Source organism: Homo sapiens, chromosome X (assembly GCF_000001405.40).
Source record: "Homo sapiens chromosome X, GRCh38.p14 Primary Assembly".
Taxonomy (NCBI): Eukaryota; Metazoa; Chordata; class Mammalia; order Primates; family Hominidae; genus Homo; species Homo sapiens.
Genome location: NC_000023.11, coordinates 66,756,036 through 66,780,708, shown reverse-complemented (window position 1 = coordinate 66,780,708; position 24,673 = coordinate 66,756,036). Strand labels below are relative to the sequence as shown.

The 24,673-nt window shown below is 37.9% G+C and overlaps 1 long non-coding RNA gene across 1 annotated transcript; it reads right to left on the bottom strand.

Annotated features, from left to right (window-relative positions):
* Positions 1-337: 337 nt before the first annotated feature.
* Positions 338-23,573, bottom strand: LOC105373240 (uncharacterized). Its single transcript, XR_938422.2, has 3 exons — positions 23,412-23,573; positions 4,062-4,206; positions 338-1,544 (listed from the first exon to the last, which is right to left on the bottom strand). It is a non-coding gene; the product is annotated as an uncharacterized LOC105373240 (long non-coding RNA).
* Between the last annotated feature and the right edge of the window lie 1,100 nt (positions 23,574-24,673).

The following is a 24,673-nucleotide window of genomic DNA, read 5'->3' as shown; positions in this document are numbered from 1 at the left end:
GTGAATGATGCAATTTGAGACATTTTACTTCTATTTTCATATATATATATATATATATATATAGAGAGAGAGAGAGAGAGAGAGAGACAGGGCCTTATTCTGTCACACAGGCTGGAGTGCAGAGGCATCATCATGGCTCACTGCAGCCTCGACCTCCTGGGCTTATGCGATCCTCCCACCTCAGCCTCTGGAGTAGCTGGGACCACAGGCATGTGCCACCACACACGGATAGTTTATTTTTTTGTAGAGCAGGAGTTTTTTCATGTTTCCCAGGCTGGTTTCCAACTCCTGAGCTCAAGAAATCAACCCACCTTGGCCTCTCAAAGTGCTGAGATTAAAGGGAGGAGCCACTGCACCAAGCCTCTTATTTATTTATTCATTTATTATTTATTTACCTACTAGAGTAATTCCACTTACCTCCTTATATCATTCCATTCACCGAATGGTGAGGGAAGAGTTTCACATTTCCTTTAAAGTCTGTTATCTCTCAAATATAAAATTTTAAAAAATATCCAAGAAAGGCAGGAAGAAAATGTGCCAGAATATTAGTAGTGTTTGCCTCTGGATGGTGAAATAAAAAGTAGGTTTTTCTCTATGTGCATATTTATCTCTTTTTAATTAAGAAAAAAGTTAAAAACAGATGCAAACTTTAGAGCTGGACAGAATGGGCCACAAATTCTAGCTCTACCATGTACTAGCTATGTAAACTTGAGCAAGTCACTTTGAGTCTGTTTTCTTACCTAAAAATGGAGAATGTAAAAGTATCTATCTCACGGGACTACTATGAGGATACATTAAATAATGTATGCAATGTGCATAGCACAGTGTCTTTCACATGGTGTTAGCATTCAGTAAATATTGTTATGTATGATTAGCATTTGTTATACATTTTCCACAACACAAATACATCTTTAATGATCAGAAAAATGTTTAAATCTTAAGAATAATTTTCAAAATGTATTATTACATCATAGCATTGAAATAGATCACGATCAACCCTAAATGCTGGTGACAAAGGGGTCTAGGTATCTATTAGCATAGACACTACTTGCAGTAGTTTTCGAAGTCTAACTCACTACTCTCCCGTAGCCATACCAAGCACAATGCATACATTGGCCTTTTTTCAAAAAGCTTGTTTGAAGTGTAGTACTTTTGGCTTCCTCTGAGGAGAATCCAGGATGACAGCTGGTTGCAAGCTGAAGTGCTCCATGCTTTTTACACTTCTGAGACCAGACCTTCCAATGTGTGCCACACCACTGACATGATTTTTGAAATGTGTAAAAGTGACATTGTAGTATATAAAAAGAGACACAATAAAGTCAACCCATCTGAAAATACCTCTTGGGGAATCAACCACATGGTCCAGTGCTGTTGTGGTTCAGTGTTTACACAGTTGTTAGCAGGCTATTTTGTGGTCGTGCTTCTACCCCAATTCAAGTCCTCACCATTACTTGCATGGAACATCACACCAACTTCTGAAAAGGTCTCTCTGCCCTCTTTTCTCCCCTTCCAGATCATTTTCCACATTTCCAAGCATGCTGTATCTGGGAAATATAAATTAGACCATTTCACTGACCTGACAAAGTGTTTTTCATTGCCTATATGTTTTAAGCCAGGATATAAGTATCAGTGGTTAGATGTGCTAGAGTGAATAAATGAGTGAATGAATTAATAATCTAATCTGTCCTCCTCCTCTTTTGTAGATGAGGCTATTGAAGCCTTGGGAAGGCAGTCTTTTGGTCATGGTCACTGAGGAAGTCAGGGAAAATATCAGATTAGATCCTATGATTCCTGAGTTCTACCTACCTACTTTAACTTCTGGCTCTGGGCTGCCCTTGGGAATGAATATCTACTGAGCCCAGAGCCTTACCAAGCCTAGAGCACTGAGAACTTGCTGGATCTGGAAAAGAACTGGGTGGCTTTGCCATGTCAGCTTGCTCTGCATATCTCAGACTTTGTCATTTTTGCAATGTGAAAACAACAAGAGCAAAACAGTAGGTACCATTTATTGAGAGCTTCCTCTGTGTCAAATATTCTACTACGTTTTTTATGTTCAACATCTTATTTAATCATTTTAACAATTATAAAAAGTCAATGCCATTGCTATCCCTACTTTACAAATGAGTGAAGAGACTTGCTAAAATTGACACACCTAATGAGTCATGAAATTAGGATTTGAACTTAGGTCTATCTGACTCCTGGGTCTGTGACAGAATCCTCCAAAGAAAGCTTGCTAGTCCTGTAGTCTTTCACAATCTCTGCACTATTTAAACATGCTCATCATCCCATCTCAGGTTCCCATCCCCGAGTTTCAAAAAAGCTAGTAGCTTAGAACAAGAGCAAAGAGCACAATAATTTGCATTAATTCCCTACAGACAAAATGTGCTAAGGAAAACTTTGGAATTTGTTTTTTTTTTTAATTTCCTATTAAACAAAACCAACACAAAATAGGCTTTTACAAAGGTTGGCTGCAAAGTGAAATGTTTCCAAGTGTCAAGTGCTCTGCCACCATGAAAAGCTGTGCTGGCACATTAACCAGATGAGGGATTTTTACCCTCACTCCTTCTCAACTCCTGTCACTATTTCAGAACTACATAGGTAAATGAAGCTAGAGGAGAAAAAAAAAAATGGCTGCAAATAATGAAAGGAAATTAGACATATGCTTGAACCAAAGACAGGCAACAGACTATGTGGTAAAATGGAGAAACACAAGAATCTGGAGACTTGGATCAGAGGTTTGGCTCTGACACTGACTTACTCTGGCACCTCAGACTACTTCTTTCCCTTCTCTTTACCACAGTTCATTCTCTGAAAGTTATGTCTTATTCTATGAGAGGTAGCTAACAGGTGGGGAAAATCACCCTACCCCAAAACGTAAGAAACCTAGATTCCAGTCCCAGTCTTACCAGTAACTTGCTATGTGACTCTGGATAAGTACGTTTCCCTCTCTGAATCTTTGTGTCCTCACTGGTTAAACTAGATGCTCTAGTCTTCCATTCTAGAATGCTTTGTCATTTTAAAGTTTCTACAAAACTGTTGATTTTTATTATTTGTGTCTTCCTGCTGTAGCAAATAATCATTAACTTAGTAAATAATAAAACAAGCAATAACAATAGATTACCTTATAGTTCTAGAGGGCAGAAGTCCAACAGAGATCTCACTGGACTAAAATCAAGGTGTTGGTAGGGCTCAGTTATTTTCTGGAGGTTCTAGGGGTGAATAATTTTTTTTTTTATTTTGCAGCTTCAGGAGGTCATCTACATTTCTTGGCTCATGGCCCCTTTCCTTCATCTTCAAAGCCAGCAGCATGGAATGTTCAAATCTCTCTCCCACTCTGACATTCTTATCTCCCTCTTATAAGGACCATTGTGATTACACTGAGGCTATTCGGACATTCCAGGAAAATCTTCCCATTTTAAGATCCTTAAATTAATCACATTTATAAAGTGCTTTTTGCCACATAAGGTAACATGTTCACAGGTCCAGGGAATCAGGATGTGAACATCTTGGGGGTCTTTATTCATCTTACCACAGCATATTTTCATAAGATGAAGCTCAGTGCCTAAAGTGAAAAAATGCTTAAAGGAAGGGTTAGATGTTTGCAAGACCTTGTGAGTACAGAGAATAATGGGGTGCCCCAAATATTAACACCACCTTAAGCTGTGTTAATAAGTATAGAATGTCCAGAATGTGGGAGGAGACAGTGCTGAACTAGGCCAAGAGACTGTGGACTAAGAGGACATGCGACATACTGAGACACTAGCTGGGGCAGCCAAGGGAGTGCTGGCATCACCCATCCTCAACCCTAGGCTTCACAGCTCAGTTCCAAAAGAGACTCCTTCATTCTGCTTGAGGAGAGGAAAGGGAAATGTGCAGAGGACTTTGTCTTGCATCTAGGATACTGGATACCAGCTCAGCCACAGCAGGATAGGGCACTGGCCAGAGTCATGAGGTCCCTGTTCCAGGATCTAGCTCCATGACAACATTTTGAGACACACCTTGGGCCATAAGGAAACTTGCTGCCTTGAAGAAAAGGGCCCAGTCATGACAGCATTCATCACCTGCTAACTGAAGAACTCTTCGGTCTTAATCAGAACCGATACCCAGGTCCTACATCCAGGGTCTTGGGTGAGCCTCTGAGACTTGCTGGCTTCAGGTGAAACTCAGAACATTACTAGCTGTTGTGGCTATGGGGTGAAACTCCTTCTGTTAGAGAAAAAGAGAGGAAAATGTAAAGGGGGCTTTGTTTTGCACCTTAGGCACGAGCACAGCCATAGTGGGGGTAGAGAACCTGGGAACTGAGTGAACATAGGCAGTAGCCAGGGAATGGTAACAGCAGGACTTGGACAAGACCCAGTGCTGTGCTGGCTTCAGGTCTGACCCAGTGCAGTCATAGATGTGGTGGCCACAGGGCTATCTGTTTCACTCCATCCCAGTTTTAGGTGGCTCAGAACACAGACAGACTCTATGTTTGGGAGAAAGTAAGGGAAGAGAACAACCGCCTCTGCCTGGTAATCCAGAGAATTATCCCAGATCTTGTCCAAGACCATCAAGGCAGTACTTCTACAAGTCTGCAAGAATCACAGTATTATTGGGCTTGGGGTACCCTGTAAAGCATATACCATTTAGATAACAATATCAAAGTTCTTTCAAATACCTGAAAAACTTTCCCAAGAAATATGGCTACAAAAACCCCAGAGAGTGAAGACTATAATAAATACCTAACTGTTTAATGCCCAAACACTGAAGGACATCTACTAGCATCAACACTATGCAGGAAAACATGAACTTACAAATTGAACTAAGTAAGGCACCAGGGACCAATCCTCGAGAAATAAAGATATGGGACTCTTCACACAGAGAATTCAAAATAGCTGTGTTGAGGAAACTCAAAGAAATTCAATATAACACAGAGAACTAATTCAGAATTCTATAAGATAAATTTAACAAATATATTAAACCAATTAAAAATGATCAAGCAGAAATTTTGGACCTGAACAAAGCAACTGGCATACCGAAGAAAGAATCAGAGCCCTTTAATAGCAGAATTGATCAAGAAGAAGAAAGATTTAGTCAGCTTGAAGACAGACTATTTGAAAATACACAGAGGACACAAAAGAGAAAAGAATAAAAAGATGAAGCATGCTTACAGGATCTATAAAATATCTTCAAAAGGGCAAATCTAAGAGTTATTGGCCTTAAAGAGAAAGTAGGAAAAGAGATAAGGTAGAAAGTTTATTCAAAGGGATAATAACAGGGAACTTCCCAAACCTAGAGAAAGATATCAATATCCAAGTAGAAGAAGGTTGTAGAATACCAAGCAAATTTAACCCAAAGAGGACTACCTCAAGGCATTTAATAATCAAACTCCCAAAGGTTAAAGATAAAGAAAGGATCCTAAAATCAACAAGAGAAAAGAAACAAATAGCATACAATGGAGCTGAAATACATCTGGCAGCAGACTTTTCAGTGGAAACCCTATAGGTCAGGAGACAGTGCCATGACATTTGAAGTGCCAAAGGAAAGAAAAGTAAACATTTACCCTAACATAGTATATCAAGTGGAAATATCCTCTAAACATAAAGGAGAAAAAAAAAGACTTTCTCAGACAAACCCAAGTTGAAGGATTGTGTTAATACCAGACCTGTCCTACAAGAAATGCTAAACGGAGTACTTCATTCAGAAAGGAAAAGATACTAATGAGCAATAAATAATCACCTGAAGGTACCAAACTTACTGACAATAGCAAGTGCACAGGAAAACATACACTTATTGTAACACTGTAATTGTGGTGTATAAACTAGTCTTATTCTAAGCAGAAAGATTAAATGATGAACCAATCAAAAATAATAACTACAACAGCTTTTCAAGATATAGATAGTACAATAAGATATCAATATTATACAAACAATGAAAAGTTAAAAAGTGATGGTAAGAAGTTAAGGTGAGTTTTTATCAATTTTCTTTTTGCTCCTTTGTTTGTTTATGTAAATAGTGTTAAGTTGTTATCAGGTTAAAATAACAGGTTATAAGATAGTATTTGTGAGCATCGTGGTAACTTCAAACCAAAAAATATACAATTGATACACAAAAAATAAAAAGCAAGAAAATAAATCACATCACCAGAGAAAATCACCTTCACTATAGGAAGAGAAAGAAAGGAAGAAAAGGAAGGAGGGAGGGAAGGAAGGGAGGGAGGGAGGGAGAGAGGGAGGGAAGGAGGGATAGAACTAGAGGAAAACAAATAACAAAATGACAGGAGTGAGTTCTTACATATAAATTATAACATTCAATGTAAATGGACTAAACTCTCTAATCAAAAGACATAGACTGGCTTAACACGTGAAAAGACAAGACCCATTGATGAACTGGCTGAACAGGTGAAAAATCAAGACCCCACAAGAAACAAACTTCACCTATAAAGACACACACAGACTGAAAATAAAGGCATGGAAAAAGATACTCTATGCCAATGGAAACCCAAAAAGAGTTGGAGTAGCTATATTTATATCTGACAAAATAGATTTGAAAGAAAAACTGTAAGAAGAGACAAAGGAGATCACTATGTAATGATAAAGGGTTCAAGTCAGCAAAAGGATTTAACAACTTTAAGTATATATGCACACAACACTGGAGCACCCTGATATAAAAAGAAAATATTATTAGAACTAAAGAGAGACATAGGTCCCAGTACCAAAATAAATGGAGGCTTTAAGACCCCAATTTCAGCATTGGACAGATCTTCTAGAGAGAAAATAAACAAAAAAACTTCATATGTAATCTGCACTATAGACCAAAAGGATCTAATACATTTTACAGAACATTTTATCCAAGAGCTGAAAAATACACAATCTTTTCCTCAACACATGGATCATTCTCAGGGACACACCATATGTTAGGTCACAAAAAGTCTTAAACATTTTTTACAAAATAAAATAATATTAAGCATCTTCTCTGCCCACAATGGAATAAAATTAGAAATTAATAACAAGAAAATTTTGGAAACTACAAAAGTATGTAAAAATGAAACAATATGCTCCTGAATGACCAGGGATATAATCAAGAAATCAAAAAGAAAATTGAAAAATTTACTTAAACAAATGACAATGTAAACACAACATACAAAAATTTATAGGGTACAGCAAAAGCAATACTAAGAAGAAAGTTTACAGTTACCAGTGCCTACATCAATAAAGAGGAAAAACTTCAAATAAACAATCTTACTATGTATCTTAAAGAACTAGAAAAGCAAGAGGAAATGAAAGCCAAAGTTAGTAGAAGAAATGAAATAATAAATATCAGAGCAGAAGTAAATGAAATTGAAATGAAAAAGACAATACAAAAGATTAATTTGAAAAGTTGTTTTTTGAAAAGTTAAACAAAATTGAAAAACCTTTTAACAAATTAAGAAAAAAAGAGAGAAGATCCTAATACCTAAAATGAGAAATGAAAAAAAAGAGACATCACAACTGATACTGCATAAATTAAAAATACCATTAATGGCTACTATGAGCAACTATATGCCAATAAATTGAAAACCCTAGAAGAAATGGACAAAGTTCTAGACACGTACATCCTACCAAGAATGAACCAGGATACATTCAAAACCTGAAAAGATCAGTAACAAGTAACAAGATCAAAGCCATAATAAAAGGACTCCCAGTAAAGAAACACCTGGGATTTGATGGCCTCATTGCAGAATTCTACCAAACATTTAAAGAATACCAATTCTACTAAAACTATTCCAAATGATAGAGGAGGAGGGGATGATTCCAAACTCATTCTATGAGGCCAGTATTACTGTCACATGAAAACCAGATGAAAACACTTCAAAAAAAAAAAAAAGAAAGAAAGAAAGAAAGAAAAGAAAACTACAGGCCAATATCTCTGATGAATAGTGATGCAAAAATTCTCAAAAAAATACTAGCAAACTATTTCCAACAATACTTTTAAAAGAACATTCATCATGACCAAGTGGGATTTATCCCTGGGATGTAAGGATGGTTCAATCTATGCAAATTAGTCAATGTGATACATCCTGTCAACAAAATGAAGAATAAAAACCATATGGTAATTTCAATTGATGCTGAAAAAGTATTTGATAAAATTCAACATCCCTTCATGATAAAAACCTTCAAAGAATTGGGAATAGAAGGAATATACCTCAACACAATATAAGCCTATATGAAAGACTCACAGCTAGTATCATATTGAATGGGGAAAAACTGAAAGCCTTTCCTCCAAGATCTGTAACATGACAAGGATGCCCACTTTCACCACTGTTATTTAATATAGTACTGGAAGACCTAGCCAGAACAATCTGACAAAAGAAAGGAATAAAGAGCATCCAAATTGGAAAGGAAGAATTAAAATTATCCTTGTTTGCAGATGATGTGTTCTTAGATATGGAAAAAAAGACTCCACAAGAAAACTGTAGAACTGAGAAACAAATACAGTAAGGTTGCAGGATGCAAAAGCAGCATACAAAAATCAGTAGCATTTCCATATGCCAACAGTGAACAATGTGAAAAAGTAATTTAAAAATTAATCCCATTTACAACAAGCACACATAAAATTAAATACCAACAATTAACTTAACCAAAGAAGTGAAAGAACTCTATAGTAAAAAGTATAAAACACTGATAAAAGCAATTGAAGAGGACACAAAAAATGGAAATATATTCCATTGTTCTTGGATTGAAATAATATTGTTAGAGTGTCCATATTCCTCAAAGAAATCTACAGATTCAATACAATCCCTATCAACATACCAATGACATTCTTCATAGAAATGGAAATAAAATCCTAAAACGTATATGAAAGCCCAAAAGGCCCAGAACAGGCAAAGATATCCTAAAGAAAAAAAAAAAAAACTGGGGCTGGGTGCAGTGCCTCATGCCTGTAATCCCAACACCTTGAGAGGCCGAGGAGGCAGGTGGATCATTTGAGGTCAGGAGTTCAAGATCAGCCTGGGCAACATGGTGAAACCCTGTCTCTACTAAAAATACCAAAATTAGCCAGGCATGGTGCCATGCACCTGTAGTCCCAGCTACTCAGGAAGCTGAGGCAGAAGAATTACTTGAACCCGGGAGGGAGAGGTTGCAGTGAGCAGAGATAGCACCACTGCATTCCAGTTTGGGTGACAGAGTGAGACTTCGTCTGAAAAAAATAAAAATAAAAAGTATAATAAAAAATAACAAAACTGGAAGAATCACATTACTTGATGTCAAATTATACTACAGAGCTCTAGTAAAAAAACAGCATAGTACTGGCACGAAAACAGACACGTAGTCCACTGGAACAGAATCAAAGTCTCAGAAGCAAATCTACACACTGACCATGAACTCATTTTCAACAAAGGTTTCAAAAACATACACTGGGGAAGATACAGTATCCTCAATAAATGTTGCTGGGGAAACTGGATATAAATATGCAGAACAATGAAACTAGTCCCCTATCTCTCACCATATACAAAACTGAAATGAAAATGGATTAAAGACCTAAGTCTAAGTCTTCAAACTATAAAACTACTACAAGAAAATATTTGGGAAACTCTGCAGGAAATTAGACTGTGCAAAAATTTCTTCAGCAATACCCACAATCAAGGCAACCAAAGCAAAAATGAACAAATGGGATCACATTAAGTTAAAACGCTTCTGCACACCAAAGGAAAGAAGCGAAGAGACAACATACAGCATACAGAATGGGAGAAATTATTTCTAAACTACCCATCTGACAAGGGATTAATTAACATAATATATAACGAGCTCAAACCAATCTATAGGAAAAAATCTAATAATACACTCAAAAAATGGGCAAAAGATTTGAAAAGAAATTTCTCAAAAGAAAACACACAAATGTAAAACAGGCATATGAAAACGTGCTCAACATAGTTGATCATCAGAGAAATGCAAATCAAAACTACTGAAATATCATATCACTCCAATTAAAATGTCTTATATCCAAAAAGCAGGCAATAATAAATGCTGGTGAGGATGTGGAGAAAAGGGAACCCTTGTACACTGTTAGTGGGAATGTAAATTAATACGATGACTATGGAGCTTTGAGGTTTCTCAGGAAACTAAAAATAAAGCTACCATATGATTCAGCAATCCTACTACTGGGTATATGCCCCTCAAAATGGAAATGAGTATATTGAAGAGATATCTGAACTCCTACGTTTGTTTCAGGACTGTTTACAATAGCTAAGATTTGAAAGCATCATAAGTGTCTATCAGCAGATGAATGGATAAAGAAAATGTAGTACATATACATAATGGAGTACTATTTAGCCATAACAAAGAATAAGATCCAGTCATTTATAACAACATGGATGGAACTGGAGATTATTATGTTATGTGAAATATGCCAGGCACAGAAAGACAATTGCATGTTCTGGTTTATGTGTGGAATCTAAAAATCAAGGCAATTGTACTCATGAGGATAGAGAGCAGGATAGTTACCAGAGACTGGGAAGGGTACTGGGGAGCTGTGCAGGAGGTGGGGATGGATAATGGGTACAAACAAATAGGAAGAATGAATAAGACCTACTGTTTGATAACATAACAGGGTGACTAATATCAACAATAACTTACTTCCAAATTTTTAGATAACTTGGAGTGTAATTGCATTGTTTGTAACTCAAAGGATAAATGCTTGAGAGGGTAGATACCCCATTCTCCATGATGTGCTATTTCACATTGCATGCCTATATCAAAACATCTCAAGTACCCCATAAATATATACACCTATTTTGTACCCACAAAAATTAAAATAATAAAAATAAAAGAAAAATTCAAAGAAAAGAATGCTGATGGAAATCAGTGACGCCTGGCTAGCTCTTTATGGAGATCTTCCTCCAGGATCAGTGGGCTTCTGAAACCAGAAACGGCTTAACATAATAATTACAAGTGCAGGCTTGTGAACCTAGGTGTCTAAATTCAAATTCCAATTTTGCCATTTACCAGCTCTGTAACTATGTAAAAAGCACTTCCCTGTGTGTCAGTTCCCTAGAGAGAAAAATGAGCATGATAAGAAAACACACTATGTGTCGTAGGACTGTTGTAACTATTGCCATTTTTAAGCATTCAGAAGACTGCCTACCATATACCGAATGCATAACAAGGGTTAGCCATTGTAATTACTATTATTATAATTATTCTGTTCAATTTCTCAAATAACAAAGCTCATCAAAGAAAAGTCAGCTAGAGTTCAGAATAAAAGACTGATTACATGGGCCATGATAGCTTTAGTTAGCAGAAGAAAGTCACTTTTCTCTTTGGATGGAGGCCACATCTTTGTCTTTCTCTGAGAACTAAAATGAATTCTTGTGTATAAACAGAGGGGTGTATGAAATGACTTTTTTCTTTTCACGGTAAAGATTTCAGATGCCCCAGCCTGGGTCCTAGGTCTGGAGAACAAGCTAGAGAAAGGATCAGCTGGCCTAAATGTCCATCTGAAATGTTGACTCTAAAAAGTGAAGTCACAAGGACTGAATTAGTAGTGGCAGCTGGAGGATTTTCTGCAGGGTTCAGCAGGGATCAACCTTCTGCTACACCAGTCCAGTGCCAAGAAATGGCCTGGTAAGTGGGCTTGTGTAAATAAGTTGAACTAGATTACTTTAGCACCAACTTCTTACACATACCTAGACTCTGGGCTACAAAATAACTTATAGTTACATTTGTACAGTGAGTGCCTAACCTGGCTGAAGATCAGAATCAGCTAAGGAGCTTGCTAAAAATAAATATTCCCAAAGCCCATTCCAGACCTACTAAATTGGAATCTGTGGTGGAGGATGGGGAGAGGTTGTGATGGTTAATTTTATGTGTTGACTTTGATTGGGTCCCAGTACCCAGATATTTGGTTATACATTATTCTGGATGTTTCTGGGAGAGTGTTTTCTATGAGCTTTACATTAAATTGGTGAACTTTGAGTAAAGCAGTTTGCTGTCCATAATGCGGTGTGCCTCATTCAATCAGTTGAAGGCCTGAATAGAACAAAAGGCTGACCTCCTTCCAGCAAGAAGGAATTTTCTAGCAGATTCCTTTCAGATGTCATCTGCTACATCAGTCCTGGGATTTCATCAGTTCTTCCAGGTTCCCTAGCAGACTGTCTTTGGCCTTAAACTGCAAATCTTTCCTGAGTCTCCAGCCTTCCAGCATCCCCCATTAGATTTTAGACTGGCCAAGCCTCCACAATCACATGAGCCAGTTCCTCAAAACAAGCAGGCAAGCAAGCAAACAAACAATTATATTGATTCTGTATCTATGGAGAATCTTGGCTAATAGAGGAGACAAGAATATGTGTTCTATACAATCATTCCAGAAGATTCTGAGGGGGAAGCTATATTTAGAAACTAATGATTCAAATAGTATTTTTTTTTTTCTGTTACTGAGATCTCCTATAAAACTTTCTCTCCAGTAGCTATTCAGGCCCTGCCTATACATTTCTAGTGACAGGAATCTCATTACCTCCAAGGACCAAAGGCAGATCAGAAGCAGCCCAGTTTATCTTTGCATATCTCTGACTGTTCTGGCTATGTATTATTGTGTATCAAACTATTCTCCAATGCTTTTGTAACTTAAAACACAACCACTTTATTATACCTTATTATTTTGGTTGGTTAGGAATTCAGGTAAGATCTGGCTGGCTGAATTTTCTGCTCCACCTGATACTAACTGATGTCACTTGATGGTATTCAGCTGAGAAATTGGTTGGTCTGAAGGGGCCGAGATGGCTTTATTCATATTCCTGATTCTTTTGCAGAGAATGCTGAAAGGCTGGCATCAGCTGGCACTAAAAGTGAGGTTGCCTATATATGTTATTTTCAGCATGGTGATCTCAGACTACTAAGACTTCTTACATGACATCCCAGGGTCTCCAGAAAGTGTTCGAGGGACACGAAATGGAAACTGTTAATCTATTAGAGCCTAGGCCCTGAAATTGGCATAGGGCCACTGTCACCATATTCTACTGATTAAAGCAGCCACAGAGCCTAACCAGAGCCAAAGAAAGGGGACATAGGCAACATCTCTCAATGGAAGGAATATAAAAGAAATTGTGGCCTTCTTTAATATGACACCCCACATTGAAAGTTATTTATTATATCAAGCTAAAATCTGTCTCCCTGAACTTCCAGGAGCAAACATCTATCTACATTCAAATCAGATGCAGGGAAAGTAAAGTTTTTGCACCCCAGGAAGAAAATTATTCTCCTAAAACCATTATGTTATCCAAGATCCAGTGCCTACTCCTTACTGGCTAGCTAACAGACCTTACTCATTCCCTCCAAGATATCCCTTAAAATGTTTCTAGATAGTGCCTCTTATATTCAGTGCCCTTAAGAGGGACCTTGTGGAGTTATGGTGATAAGACAAACTGTATGAATTTTAGGCATAGTAGTTAGGGTGTGAGAAGTTTAGGAAAGTGTTAGGAGCCTACAGCTTCCCAGTATCTTTTGTACCATGCTAGAGAGGACATATGTTCCTCATCTCAGTAACAGGCATTTAGGAATTTTCCCTTAACAATTTTAAGCCAGGATAAACTTACATTCACTAAACACCCTAAAGCCAGACCCATTCCTAACGTTGTCTTCCCTTCAGCAAATTATAAAAGCAATATATTTCCTGTTGTATCCTGGTTCAAGCCCTGTTGGCCCATTTCTATTAGACTGTATTTCCTTCTGACTTCTAAGATCTAAGTGAGGTTCTATTTCTAGGCAGAATCAAGAGAACAACAATAAAAAAGTCTCAGGTTGTCCGCCATTACTGAGGCTTTAGTAGGTGGTTTTCCCCTGACAGTGCTAAGGAGGCTGGGAAGTCTGGGCTAGGTGCAGCAAAGTGACTGTGGCTAGATTGTTTCTCTAGATTCCTCCTAACTAGGCAGGGCATCTCTGAAGGAAAGGTAACAGCCCTGGTCAGGGGCTTACAGACAAAACCCCAATCTCCCTGGGATAGAGAACCTCGGGGAAGGGGCGGCTGTGGTCACAGCTTCAGTAAATTTAATCATTCCTGTCTGCCGGCTCTGAAGAAAGCAGCTGATACTGACAAGAGAGATTCTCCCAGCAGAGCACACCAGCTCTGCTAAGGGAAAGAGGGCCTCCTCAAGTGGGTCCCTGACACCCATGCCTCCTGACTGTGAGGCACTTCCCAACAGGGGTCGACAGACACCTCATACACCTCATACCAGAGAGCTCCAGCTGGCATCAAGCCAGTGCCCCTCTGGGACAAAGCTTCCAGAGGAAGTAGCAGGAAGCAATCTTTTTTGTTCTGCAGCTCCCATTTGTGATACCCAGGCGAAAAGGGTCTGGAGTGGTCCTCCAGCAAACTGCAGCAGACCTGCAGAAGAAGGGCCTGTTAGAAGGAAAACTAACAACCAGTAAGCAACAACATCAACATCAACAAAAAGGACATCCAAACAAAAACCCCATGCAAAGGCCATCACCCTCAAAGACCAAAGGTAGATAAATCCATGAAGATGAGGAAAAAAAAAACAGTGCAAAAATGCTGAAAATTCCAAAAACCGGAATGCTTCCTCTCCTCCAAATGATCAAAACTCCTCTCCAAAAAAAGGAAAAAAAAAACCTGGATGTAGAATGAGATTGATGAATTGACAGACACAGGCTTCAGAAGGTGGGTAATAACAAACTCTTCTGAGCTAAAGGAGTATGTTGGAACCCAATGCAAAGAAGCTAAGAACCTTGACAAAAGGTAACAGGAACTGCTAACCAGAATAAAGAGTTTAGAGAGAAACATAAACGAACTGATGGAGCTGAAAAACACAGCATGAGAACTTCGTGAAGCATACACAAGTATCAATGGCTGAAACGATCAAGCAGAAGAAAGGATATCAGAAATTGAAAATCAACTTACTGAAATAAAGTGTGAAGACAAGATTAAAGAAAAAAGAATGAAAAGGAACAAACAAAGCTTCCAAGAAATATGGGACTGTGTGAAAAGACCAAACTTAAAATTGTTTGGTGTACCTGAAAGTGACAAGAAGAATGGAACCAAGTTGGAAAACACACTTCAGGATTTTATGTAGGAGAACTTCCCCAATCTAGCAACACAGGCCAACATTCAAATTCAGGAAATATAGAGAACACTACTAAGGTACTCCTCGAGAAGAGCAACACCAAGAAACATAATCGTCAGATTCTCCAGGTTGAAATGAAGAAAAAAATGTTAAAGGCAGCCAGAGAGAAAGGTCAGGTTACCTACAAAGGGAAGTCCATCAGACTAACAGCAGACCTCTCTGCAGAAACCCTACAAGCCAGAGGAGAGTGGGGGCCAATATTCAACATTCTTGAAGAAAAGAATTTTCAATCCAGAATTTCATATGCAGCCAAACTAAGCTTCATAAGAGAAGGGGAAATAAAATTCTTTCCAGACAAACAAATGCTGAGCAATTTTGTCACCACCAGGCCTGCCTTACAAGAGCTCCTGAAGGAAGCACTAAATATGGAAAGGAAAAACCAGTACCAGTAACTGCAAAAACACACCAAAATATAAAGACCAATGACACTATAAAGAAACTGCATCTACTAATATGCAAAACAACCAGCTAGCATGATGATGACAGAATCAAATTCACAGATAACAATATTGACCTTCAATTTAAATGGGGTAAATGCTCCAATTAAAGACACAGACTGGCAAATTGGATAGAGAGTCAAGACCCATTGGTGTGCAGTATTCAGGAGACCCATCTCACATGCAAAGACACACATAGGCTCAAAATAAAGGGATGGAGGAATATTTACAAAGCAAATGAAAAGAAAAAAAAGCAGGTGTTACAATCCTAATCCCTGGTAAAACAGACTTTAAACCAACAAAGATCAAAAAAGACAAAGCAGAGCATTACATAATGGTAAAGGGATCAATGCAACGAGAAGAGCTAACTATCCTAAATATATATGCACCCAAAGCAGAAGCACCCAGATTCATAAAACAAGTTCTTAGAGACCTACAAAGAGACTTAAACTCCCACACAATAATAGTGGGAGACTTTAACATCCCACTGTCAATATTAGACAGATTAATGAGACAGAAAATCAGCAAAGATATTCAGGGCTTGAACTCAATTCTGGAGTAAGTGGAACTAATAGACATCTACAGAACTCTCCACCCCAAATCAACAGAATATACATTCTTCTCAATGCCACATGGCACGTATTCTAAAATTGACCACATAATTGAAAATAAAACACTTCTCAGCAAATGCAAAAGAACCGAAATCATAACAAACAGTCTCTCAGACCACAGTGCAATGAAATTAGAATGCAGGATTAAGAAACTTACTCAAAACCACACAACTACATGTAAATTGAACAACCTGCTCCTGAATGACTACTGGGTAAACAATGAAATTAAGGCATAAATAAATAATTTCTTTGAAATCAATGAGAACAAAGAGACAATGTACCAGAATCTCTGGGACACAGCTAAAGCAGTGTTAAGAGGGAAATTTATAGCACTAAATGCCTGCAACAGAAACCAGGAAAGATCAAAAATCGACACCCTAACATCACAATTAAAAGTGCTAGAGAAGGAAGAGCAAACAAATTCAAAAGCTAGTAGAAGATAAAAATATAATGAAGATCAGAGCAGTACTGAAGGAGATAGGGACACTAAAATCCCTTCAAAAATCAATGAATCTAGGAGCTGGATTTTTTAAAAGATTAACAAAATAGATGGACCACTAGATGGACTAATAAATAAGAAAACAGAGAACAATCAAATAGATGCAATAAAAAATGATGAGGGAATATCACCACTGATCCCAAGAAATGCAAACTACCATCAGAGAATACTATAAACACCTCTACACCAATAAAGTAGAAAATATAGAAGAAATGGATAAATTACCGGACACATACACCTTCCAAAGACTAAACCAGAAAGAAGTCAAAGCCCTGAATAGAGCACTAACAAGTTCTGAAATTGAGGCAGTAATTGATAGCGTACCAACCAAAAAAAAAAAAAAAAAAAACCCCAGGACTAGACATATTCACAGCTGAATTATACCAGAGGTACAAAGAGGAGTTGGTATCTTTCCTTCTGAAATGATTCCAAACAATAGAAAAAGAAGGCATCTGCCCTAACTCATTTTCTGAGGCCAGCATCATCCTGATACCAAAACCTGGCTGAGACACAACAAAAAAAGAAAATTTCAGGCCAATATCCCTGATGAACATCGATGCAAATAATCTCAATAAAATGCTGGCAAACCAAATCCAGCAGCACATCCAAAACTTATGCACCACGATTAAGTACACTTCATCCCTGGGATGCAAGGCTGGTTCAACATATACAAATCAATAAACGTAATCCATCACATAAACAAGACCAATGACAAAACCCACATGATTATCTCAGTAGATGCAGAGAAGGCCTTTGATAAAATTCAACACCTCTTCATGCTAAAAACTCTCTATAAACTAGGTATTGATTGAACATATCTCAAAATAATAAGGACTATTTATGGCAAACCCATAGCTTATACCATACTAAATGGGGAAAAGCGGGAAGACATCCCTTTGAAAACTGGCACAAGACAAGGTTACCCTCTCTCACCACTCCTATTCAAAGTTGCATTGGAAGTTCGGCTAGGGCAATCAGGCAAGAAAAAGAAATAAAGGGTATTCAAATAGGAAGAGAGAAAGTCAGATTGTCTCTGTTTGCAGATGACATAATCGTATATTTAGAAAACCCCATTATCTCAGCTCAAAAACTCCTTAAGCTGATAAGCAACTTCAGCAAAGTCTCAGGATACAAAATCAATGTGCAAAAATTACAAGCATTCCTATACCCCAAAAATAGACAAGCAGAGAGCCAAATCATGACTTAACTCCCATTCACAATTGCTACAAAGAGAATAAAATATCTAGGAACACAACTTACAGGGGACTTCAAGGACCTCTTCAAGGAGAACCTCAAACCACTTATCAATAAAATAAGAGAGGACACAAACAAATGGAAAAAAACGTTTTTCATGCTCATGGATAGGAAGAATCAATTTCATGAAAGTAGTCATACTGCCTAAAGTAATTTTTAGATTCAAATCTATCCCCATCAAGCTACCATTGACTTTCTTCACATAATTAGAAAAAACTACTTTAAATTTCATATGGAACCAAAAAAGAGCCCGTATACCCAAGACAATCCTAAGCAAATAGAACAAAGCTGGAAGCACCATGGTACCTGACTTCAAACTATACTAAAAGGCTACAGTAACCAAAAGAGCATGTTATTGATACCAAAACAGATATATACACCAAATGAAACAGAACAGAGACCCCAGTAATAACACCACACATCTACAACCATCTGATCTTTAACAAACCTGACAAAAACAATCAATGGGGAAAAGATTCCACAGTTAACAAGTGGTGCTGGGAAAACTGGCTAGCCATATGCAGAAAACTGAAACTGGACCACTTCCTTATACCTGATACAAAAATCGACTCAAGATGTATTAAAGACTTGTAAATGTAAAGCCCCAAACCATAAGCCACTTGTAAATATAAAACCCAAAACCATAGAAACCTTAGAAGAAAACCTAGGCAATTTCATTCAGGACATAGGCACAGGCAGACTTCATGACTAAAACACCAAAAGCAATTGCAACAGAAGCCAAAATTGAAAAATGGGATCTAATCAAACTAAAGAGCTGCACAGCAAAAGAAACTATCATCAGAGTGAACAGGTAACCTACAAAATGGAAAAAAAAATGACAATCTATCCATCTGACAAAAGTCTAATATCCAGAATCTACATGGAATTTAAACAAATTTACAAGAAAAAGACAAACAACCCCATCAAAAAGTGGATGAAAGATATGAACAGACACTTCTCAAAAGAAGACATTTATACAGCCAACAAACATATGAAAAAAAGCTCATAATCACTGGTCATCAGAGACATGCAAATTGACACCACAATGAGATAACATGTCACTCCAGTTAGAATGGCAGTCATTAAAAAGTCAAGAAACAACAGAGCTGGCAAGGCTGTGGAGAAATAGGAACGCTTTTACACTGGTGGTGGGAGTGTAAATTAGTTCAACCATTGTGGACAGTGTGGTGATCCCTCAGGGATCCAGAACCAGAAATACCATTTGACCCAGTAATCCATTATTGGGTATATAGCCAAAGTATTATAAATCATTCTATTATAAAGACATATGCACATATATGTTTATTGCAGCACTATTCACACTAGCAAAGACTTGGAACCAACCCAAATGCCCATCAATGATAGACTGGATAAAGAAAATGTGGCACATATACACTATGGAATACTATGCAGCCATAAAAAAGAATGAGTTCATGTCCTTTGCAAGGACCTGGATGTAGCTGGAAGCTATCATTCTCAATAAAATTACACAGGAACAGAAAGCCAAACACCACATGTGCTCCCTTATAAGTGGGAGTTGACTAATGAGAACACATGGATGCAGGGAGGGAAACATCACACACCGGGGCCTGTTGGGGGTTGTGGGGCAAGGGAAGGGAGAGCATTAAGACAAATACCTAATGCATTCAGGGCTTAAAACCTAGGTGACGGGTTGATACCAGCAGCAAACCACTATGGCACATGTATGCCTATGTAACAAACCTGCACATTCTGTACATGTATTTCAGAACTTAAAGTAATTTTAAAAATCTCTATTTTATTAAATTTGCTGATGATTCAGGCCTCACTGGTACTAAGGAGAGCCTGCTTAGGTCTCATCAACCTTATTCTTCCCTCCTTCCAGCCTTTCTCCTGTCATCTACAATTTATTTAGGTTGTATGCTAGGGGAAATACCACCAGTGATACTCTATGTCACATGAAAAGTAGTTAAATGTCCCCACCCAGTGGAATAAATGTAAATTCCATGTGCCCCAGCCAAAATCTTTAAGGCCGCCATTTGGACTATTTTTATTACTGAAATCATTCTTCCTTAATGCCCCCAAAGCTTTACCAACTTGTGTGAGCAGGTGCCTTCAGGTTACAGTGATATTCTAGAAGGGAAAAAGGAATCACAAGTAGACAACACAGCAACAGGCATAGGAGAAAAAGAAGAGAGGGCTTTGTTACTAGACAGACATATCCAGAGTTCTAACGACAGTGTACAAATCTAGGCTCCATAGATAAGAAAGCCCATTTTAAGCCAGATTCATTCATGCTCCAAACCTCAGCATCATGCAGTATACCCTTGAAACAAACATGCACGTGTACCCCCTGAACCTAGAATACAAGTTTATTTATTTATTTATCTATTAGCAAGCCTATTTTACTTCTACTCTGCTACTGCCCACCTTGGATTCTAGCTCACAAAACCGTAAAAGATCAAAGTTAAAAAGGACTTCTAAAATTATCTAGTCCAGATTTTGAGGAGTTTTGTTGATCATTATTTTCAAGAAGTAGAACCCTTGCTTTTAAACTAGGTAGAAAATTCATTGCTACTCTGGTTTAAGTAGGTCAGGGAAATGCTCAGACTCTTGCCTTGTCAGCCCCTCTCTCTCCCTGAGACTCCCAGCATGAAAATCCATGGTCCTAGGGATAGGTCAACTCTTCCTGCTCAAAATGCCAGTGACATTAGAAATGAAGAAATAAAAGTTCAAAAAGGTATTTATATACTCAATATACCTATATAACTCTGAGTTATATATGGAGTTAGTCTAGAATTCACATTAAAGATGAATTTGCAATCTAAGATCAGAGAAAGGGGAAGGGCTCAGATCACAAATATGGACTGGAAGGGGTGATGCAAATAGATGCAGTCAGTCTCAAAGGTAGTACTAAATAGTCACTATTTGGTAAAATAAAAATGCTTAATTGAAACAGATTTGATGTTAGCAACTGCTACACTATGCCTATATGTTGTATGGTTGAGGGGTTCCTAGACAAAGGTAGGGGATTAATCCAAATTATCCACAGTGGACTTCTCTAATCTGAGTATTCAAGAAGTGGTACCAGTCAGTGTTCACTCCAATCGTAACCTATCCTGTCTGTTGTGCTGGTTGTTATTAGGATCAAATTAAAGAGTAAGGTGAAGATGCTTTGAAAGTTATAAAATGCCATGCAAATGTAAGGGCTTAGAATGTTATTGCTGTTATCATTATTCTATATTTTGGTTTCATTCTTGCAGAATCTTTGGCTTCGCATGGGTCTTAAGCGGTTTGCTCATTACACCTTCCAGGCTCCAGAGAGGCTGTCCCTAACCAGCTAGAGATCTATACTTGAAGGCCATTATCAGCAAAGACTTGATATACCCAATAAAGGAGCTTGCTGAACTCATCTCAGCTGTGATGGGCATGAAACTCTTCCACAGATTATCTCAGCTCAGTCAGTTAAGCCACATTTATTAAGCACCCACTTTGCAGAATTCATTGTGGAACCAGGACTTTGAATAGGATTAAGCAGACAAAAAGGAATGGAGATGCTGGGATGATGGGCCAAAACCAAGAAGAAGTTTAATTGGAATATACATGTAAGGTTATGCACTTGTTTCTAAACACAGAAACAAACAAACAACAATTATAACAAAACGATGGCAGCAAAGAAAGGAAATGCGCTTAGTATTGGCCTCTATACTCAAAGGTTAGGGAATTTACTTACCTGCAAATTTAGTATGAGTCAGTGGAAAAATGTGGCTAATGAAAGAAATGTGTTTTAAACTGTATAAATAGAAACATAACTAAATAATGTTTAAATATTCATAGTAGTCTAAATATAGTAAAATGGTGCATATTTATTTTAAAGAATAAATAATTTTTAAAACCACATACTGTGTATATTAAAAAAATACTCAAAGTCTTTTACATGCATTAATAAGAGTTTATGTGAAAAAAGCTCTGTATTTAAATACATTTGGGAAACGCTTTGTTTACTGAAGGACTTCTCAATTCTCTAAAACACTAATGTTTATTGTGGCTCTCCAAGAGGGAATTAAGGCAGGTAGTGTTTCCCAAACTTATTTGAACATAGAAATTTTTCTTTACAGAATATTTTACATGACCAGTATTCAGTGAAGTACACCTCAGAGAATATTTACCCAGAACCAAAAAGGTGATACTCTGTTTTTTCAGACTCAACCTAGGTCCCATAATTAATGAGGGGTACAGAGAAACAGAAATATATCCACAGGGAGGTTACTGAGCTGAGGAGGAAGTCAGAAACCAGTTCCCTTGAGCTGGGGAAGTTTGGCTTGGAGGAGACTTAGGGGAATTTAGTCTCTGTCTTCAGAGCTCTGAAGATCTCAAGCCTGACAGACGGTCAAAGCAGGGATGAATGGATATAAACTGCACAGACACAGTTTTCAGCTCATAACTAAGCAGAACTTGCTAAAAGAACTGGCCAAAGATGGAATAGGCTCACTTGGTAGCAAGTGAGATTTCTATTACTAGATATATTTAAGCTGTGTCTTCAGGAACACCTGTTTAGTTTGCAGAGTGAGGTCTTTCACAGTTTCACCCAACACTGATATTCCATGGTTCTAAATCAAACTGCAATTGGCATCATGTGAAAAATGACAGGTCAGGAGACTATGCAAAACCCATGGTTTCCAAACTGAGGCACACATCAGAATCACCTGCAGGGCTTGCTAAAACACAGATTTCTGACTTCCATTTCTGGCCAAGATGGAGTAGTCATCTCATTTCTCGCTGTTCTCCCTCAACAACAACAACAACAAAAACCTGGATATAATATAACCAACCAACAAACAAAAAGACTCTAAAGTGTGAAAAAAGGCAAGCTGCCCAGGGTCTTCAGGACTTGAGGAACAATGCAGTGAGAGCTCCCTGAGTTTCCTTTTAGGCTCTCGTATATCCCAGATGGGGCATTGTAAGCCTGCAACCTAAATCATACAATAGACACATACAAAATAAGCCTCAGGAAAATCCTGCTCTTGTAGCCAAAGGATTGGGATAAGGGCGGCATAACAGAACAGACAACTTAAATATATACATATAAATATATATATATATATATATATATAGAGAGAGAGAGATAGATAGATAGATAGATAGATAGATAATTTGCCTCTCCAGCCAAATAACAGAAGAAAATTTTCTTCCACCCACTCCCCCACCCTCATCCCTGCCATTTTCAGCAGGCCCTAGCAGGGAGCTGAACTCCTGTACCCACCAGGTGGCAAAGAGACAAAACAAGGTGGTACAAGATAGTGCTTGTTAGCATTGCACTTTCCTTGCCAATGTATTATGAGCAGAGCTTAGCAAGGAGCTAAAATTCTACTTATAACCACTGAAAGGTAGTGTGAGTTAGCTCTCTGCTTTTGCAGGGGTTGTATCAGGAGGGTCCAGATGTTGGTGGTGCTGAATTTCAATCCCCACTCAGCAGCAATGAAACAGAGCAAAGTTGTGTGGGATAGTACTAGTCAGCACTCTCTCCCCATCCTTACCCCCGTATCAGCGGGACCAAGGGGAATCTTGATTTTCTGTCTTCTGCTTCCACCATGCAGCAACAGGGCAGAATGAGGCAATATGACATGACACTCTATTCAATGATACTCTGCCTCCCCCAATATCCATATCAGCAAGGACCAAGGAAAAGCTGAACTTCCACTCCCAGCTGCCAACAACAAGACACAATAAGGTAGGGCTAGGCAACATTCATCAATACTTTTACTTCCTGCCCACCCCACATAGTGTTAGTAGGGTGTAGCAGAGAGCTAATATTTAACTCCAACCAACTTAGCGAGTGTCATTGCTGCAGAAAGAAGCCATGCAAGTTTGTGGTAGTTCACCTTTCACCTCCCTCCTACTCTCCTCTTCCCTCCTATCAGAGGGAGCAGAATGTGGAGCTGAATTTCATGCTCTCAAACAGAAACAGTAAGTTCTCAAACAGAAACATATGAGTCAGTGATCTAATTTTGCTTAGAGGTGTAAGCAGGGCCAAGAAGGAAACTGAATTTCAACCACCACTGCTTGACAATGAGACAGGGCAAGATGGTGGAAGTTCAAGCTCTGCATTTGTTAGGATGGTAGCAGTGAGGCCCAGCAGAAAACTAAACATCCGCTTTCACTTCGACTTGTGTGATATACATTATCAAGGTAAATGACTGAAATAAAAAGCAATAATTAAATACAATACAGAGTCTCACATCATAATAATCCAAAAGGTCAGGATACAATAAAATATCACTTGTCAAACCAAGAACATAGAAAATCTCAACTTCAGAGCACTTCCTAACTATTTCCATGAGTCTAATATTACCCAGATTTCAAAATCAGACAAGGAAAAAAAGGAAATTGAATATGTTCAACTTTTATGCATCCATTATACCTTGATAAAGCTTAAAAATAGTATTCATGTGAGAATTCAAAAGAGCCAGCATAGCAAAAACAACTTTAAAAAAGAAAAAATTTTTGAGGACTCACACTTCTTGATCTCAAAACATGCTACAAGGTTAAAGTAATCAAAACGTTGTGATTCTGGTTTAAGATTTGACATATAAATCAGTGGAACACAGTTGACAGAGTCCAAAAGTAAGCTCTTACACTTAAGAACAGTTGACTTTCAGCAAAGGTGCAAAGACTATTGAAGGTAAAAAGAATAGTCTTTTGATATGTGTGCTGGGACAACTGGATATTTACTTGCAAAATAATAAATTTGGATCTATACCTTACACCATACACAAAAATTAACTCAAAATGGATCAAA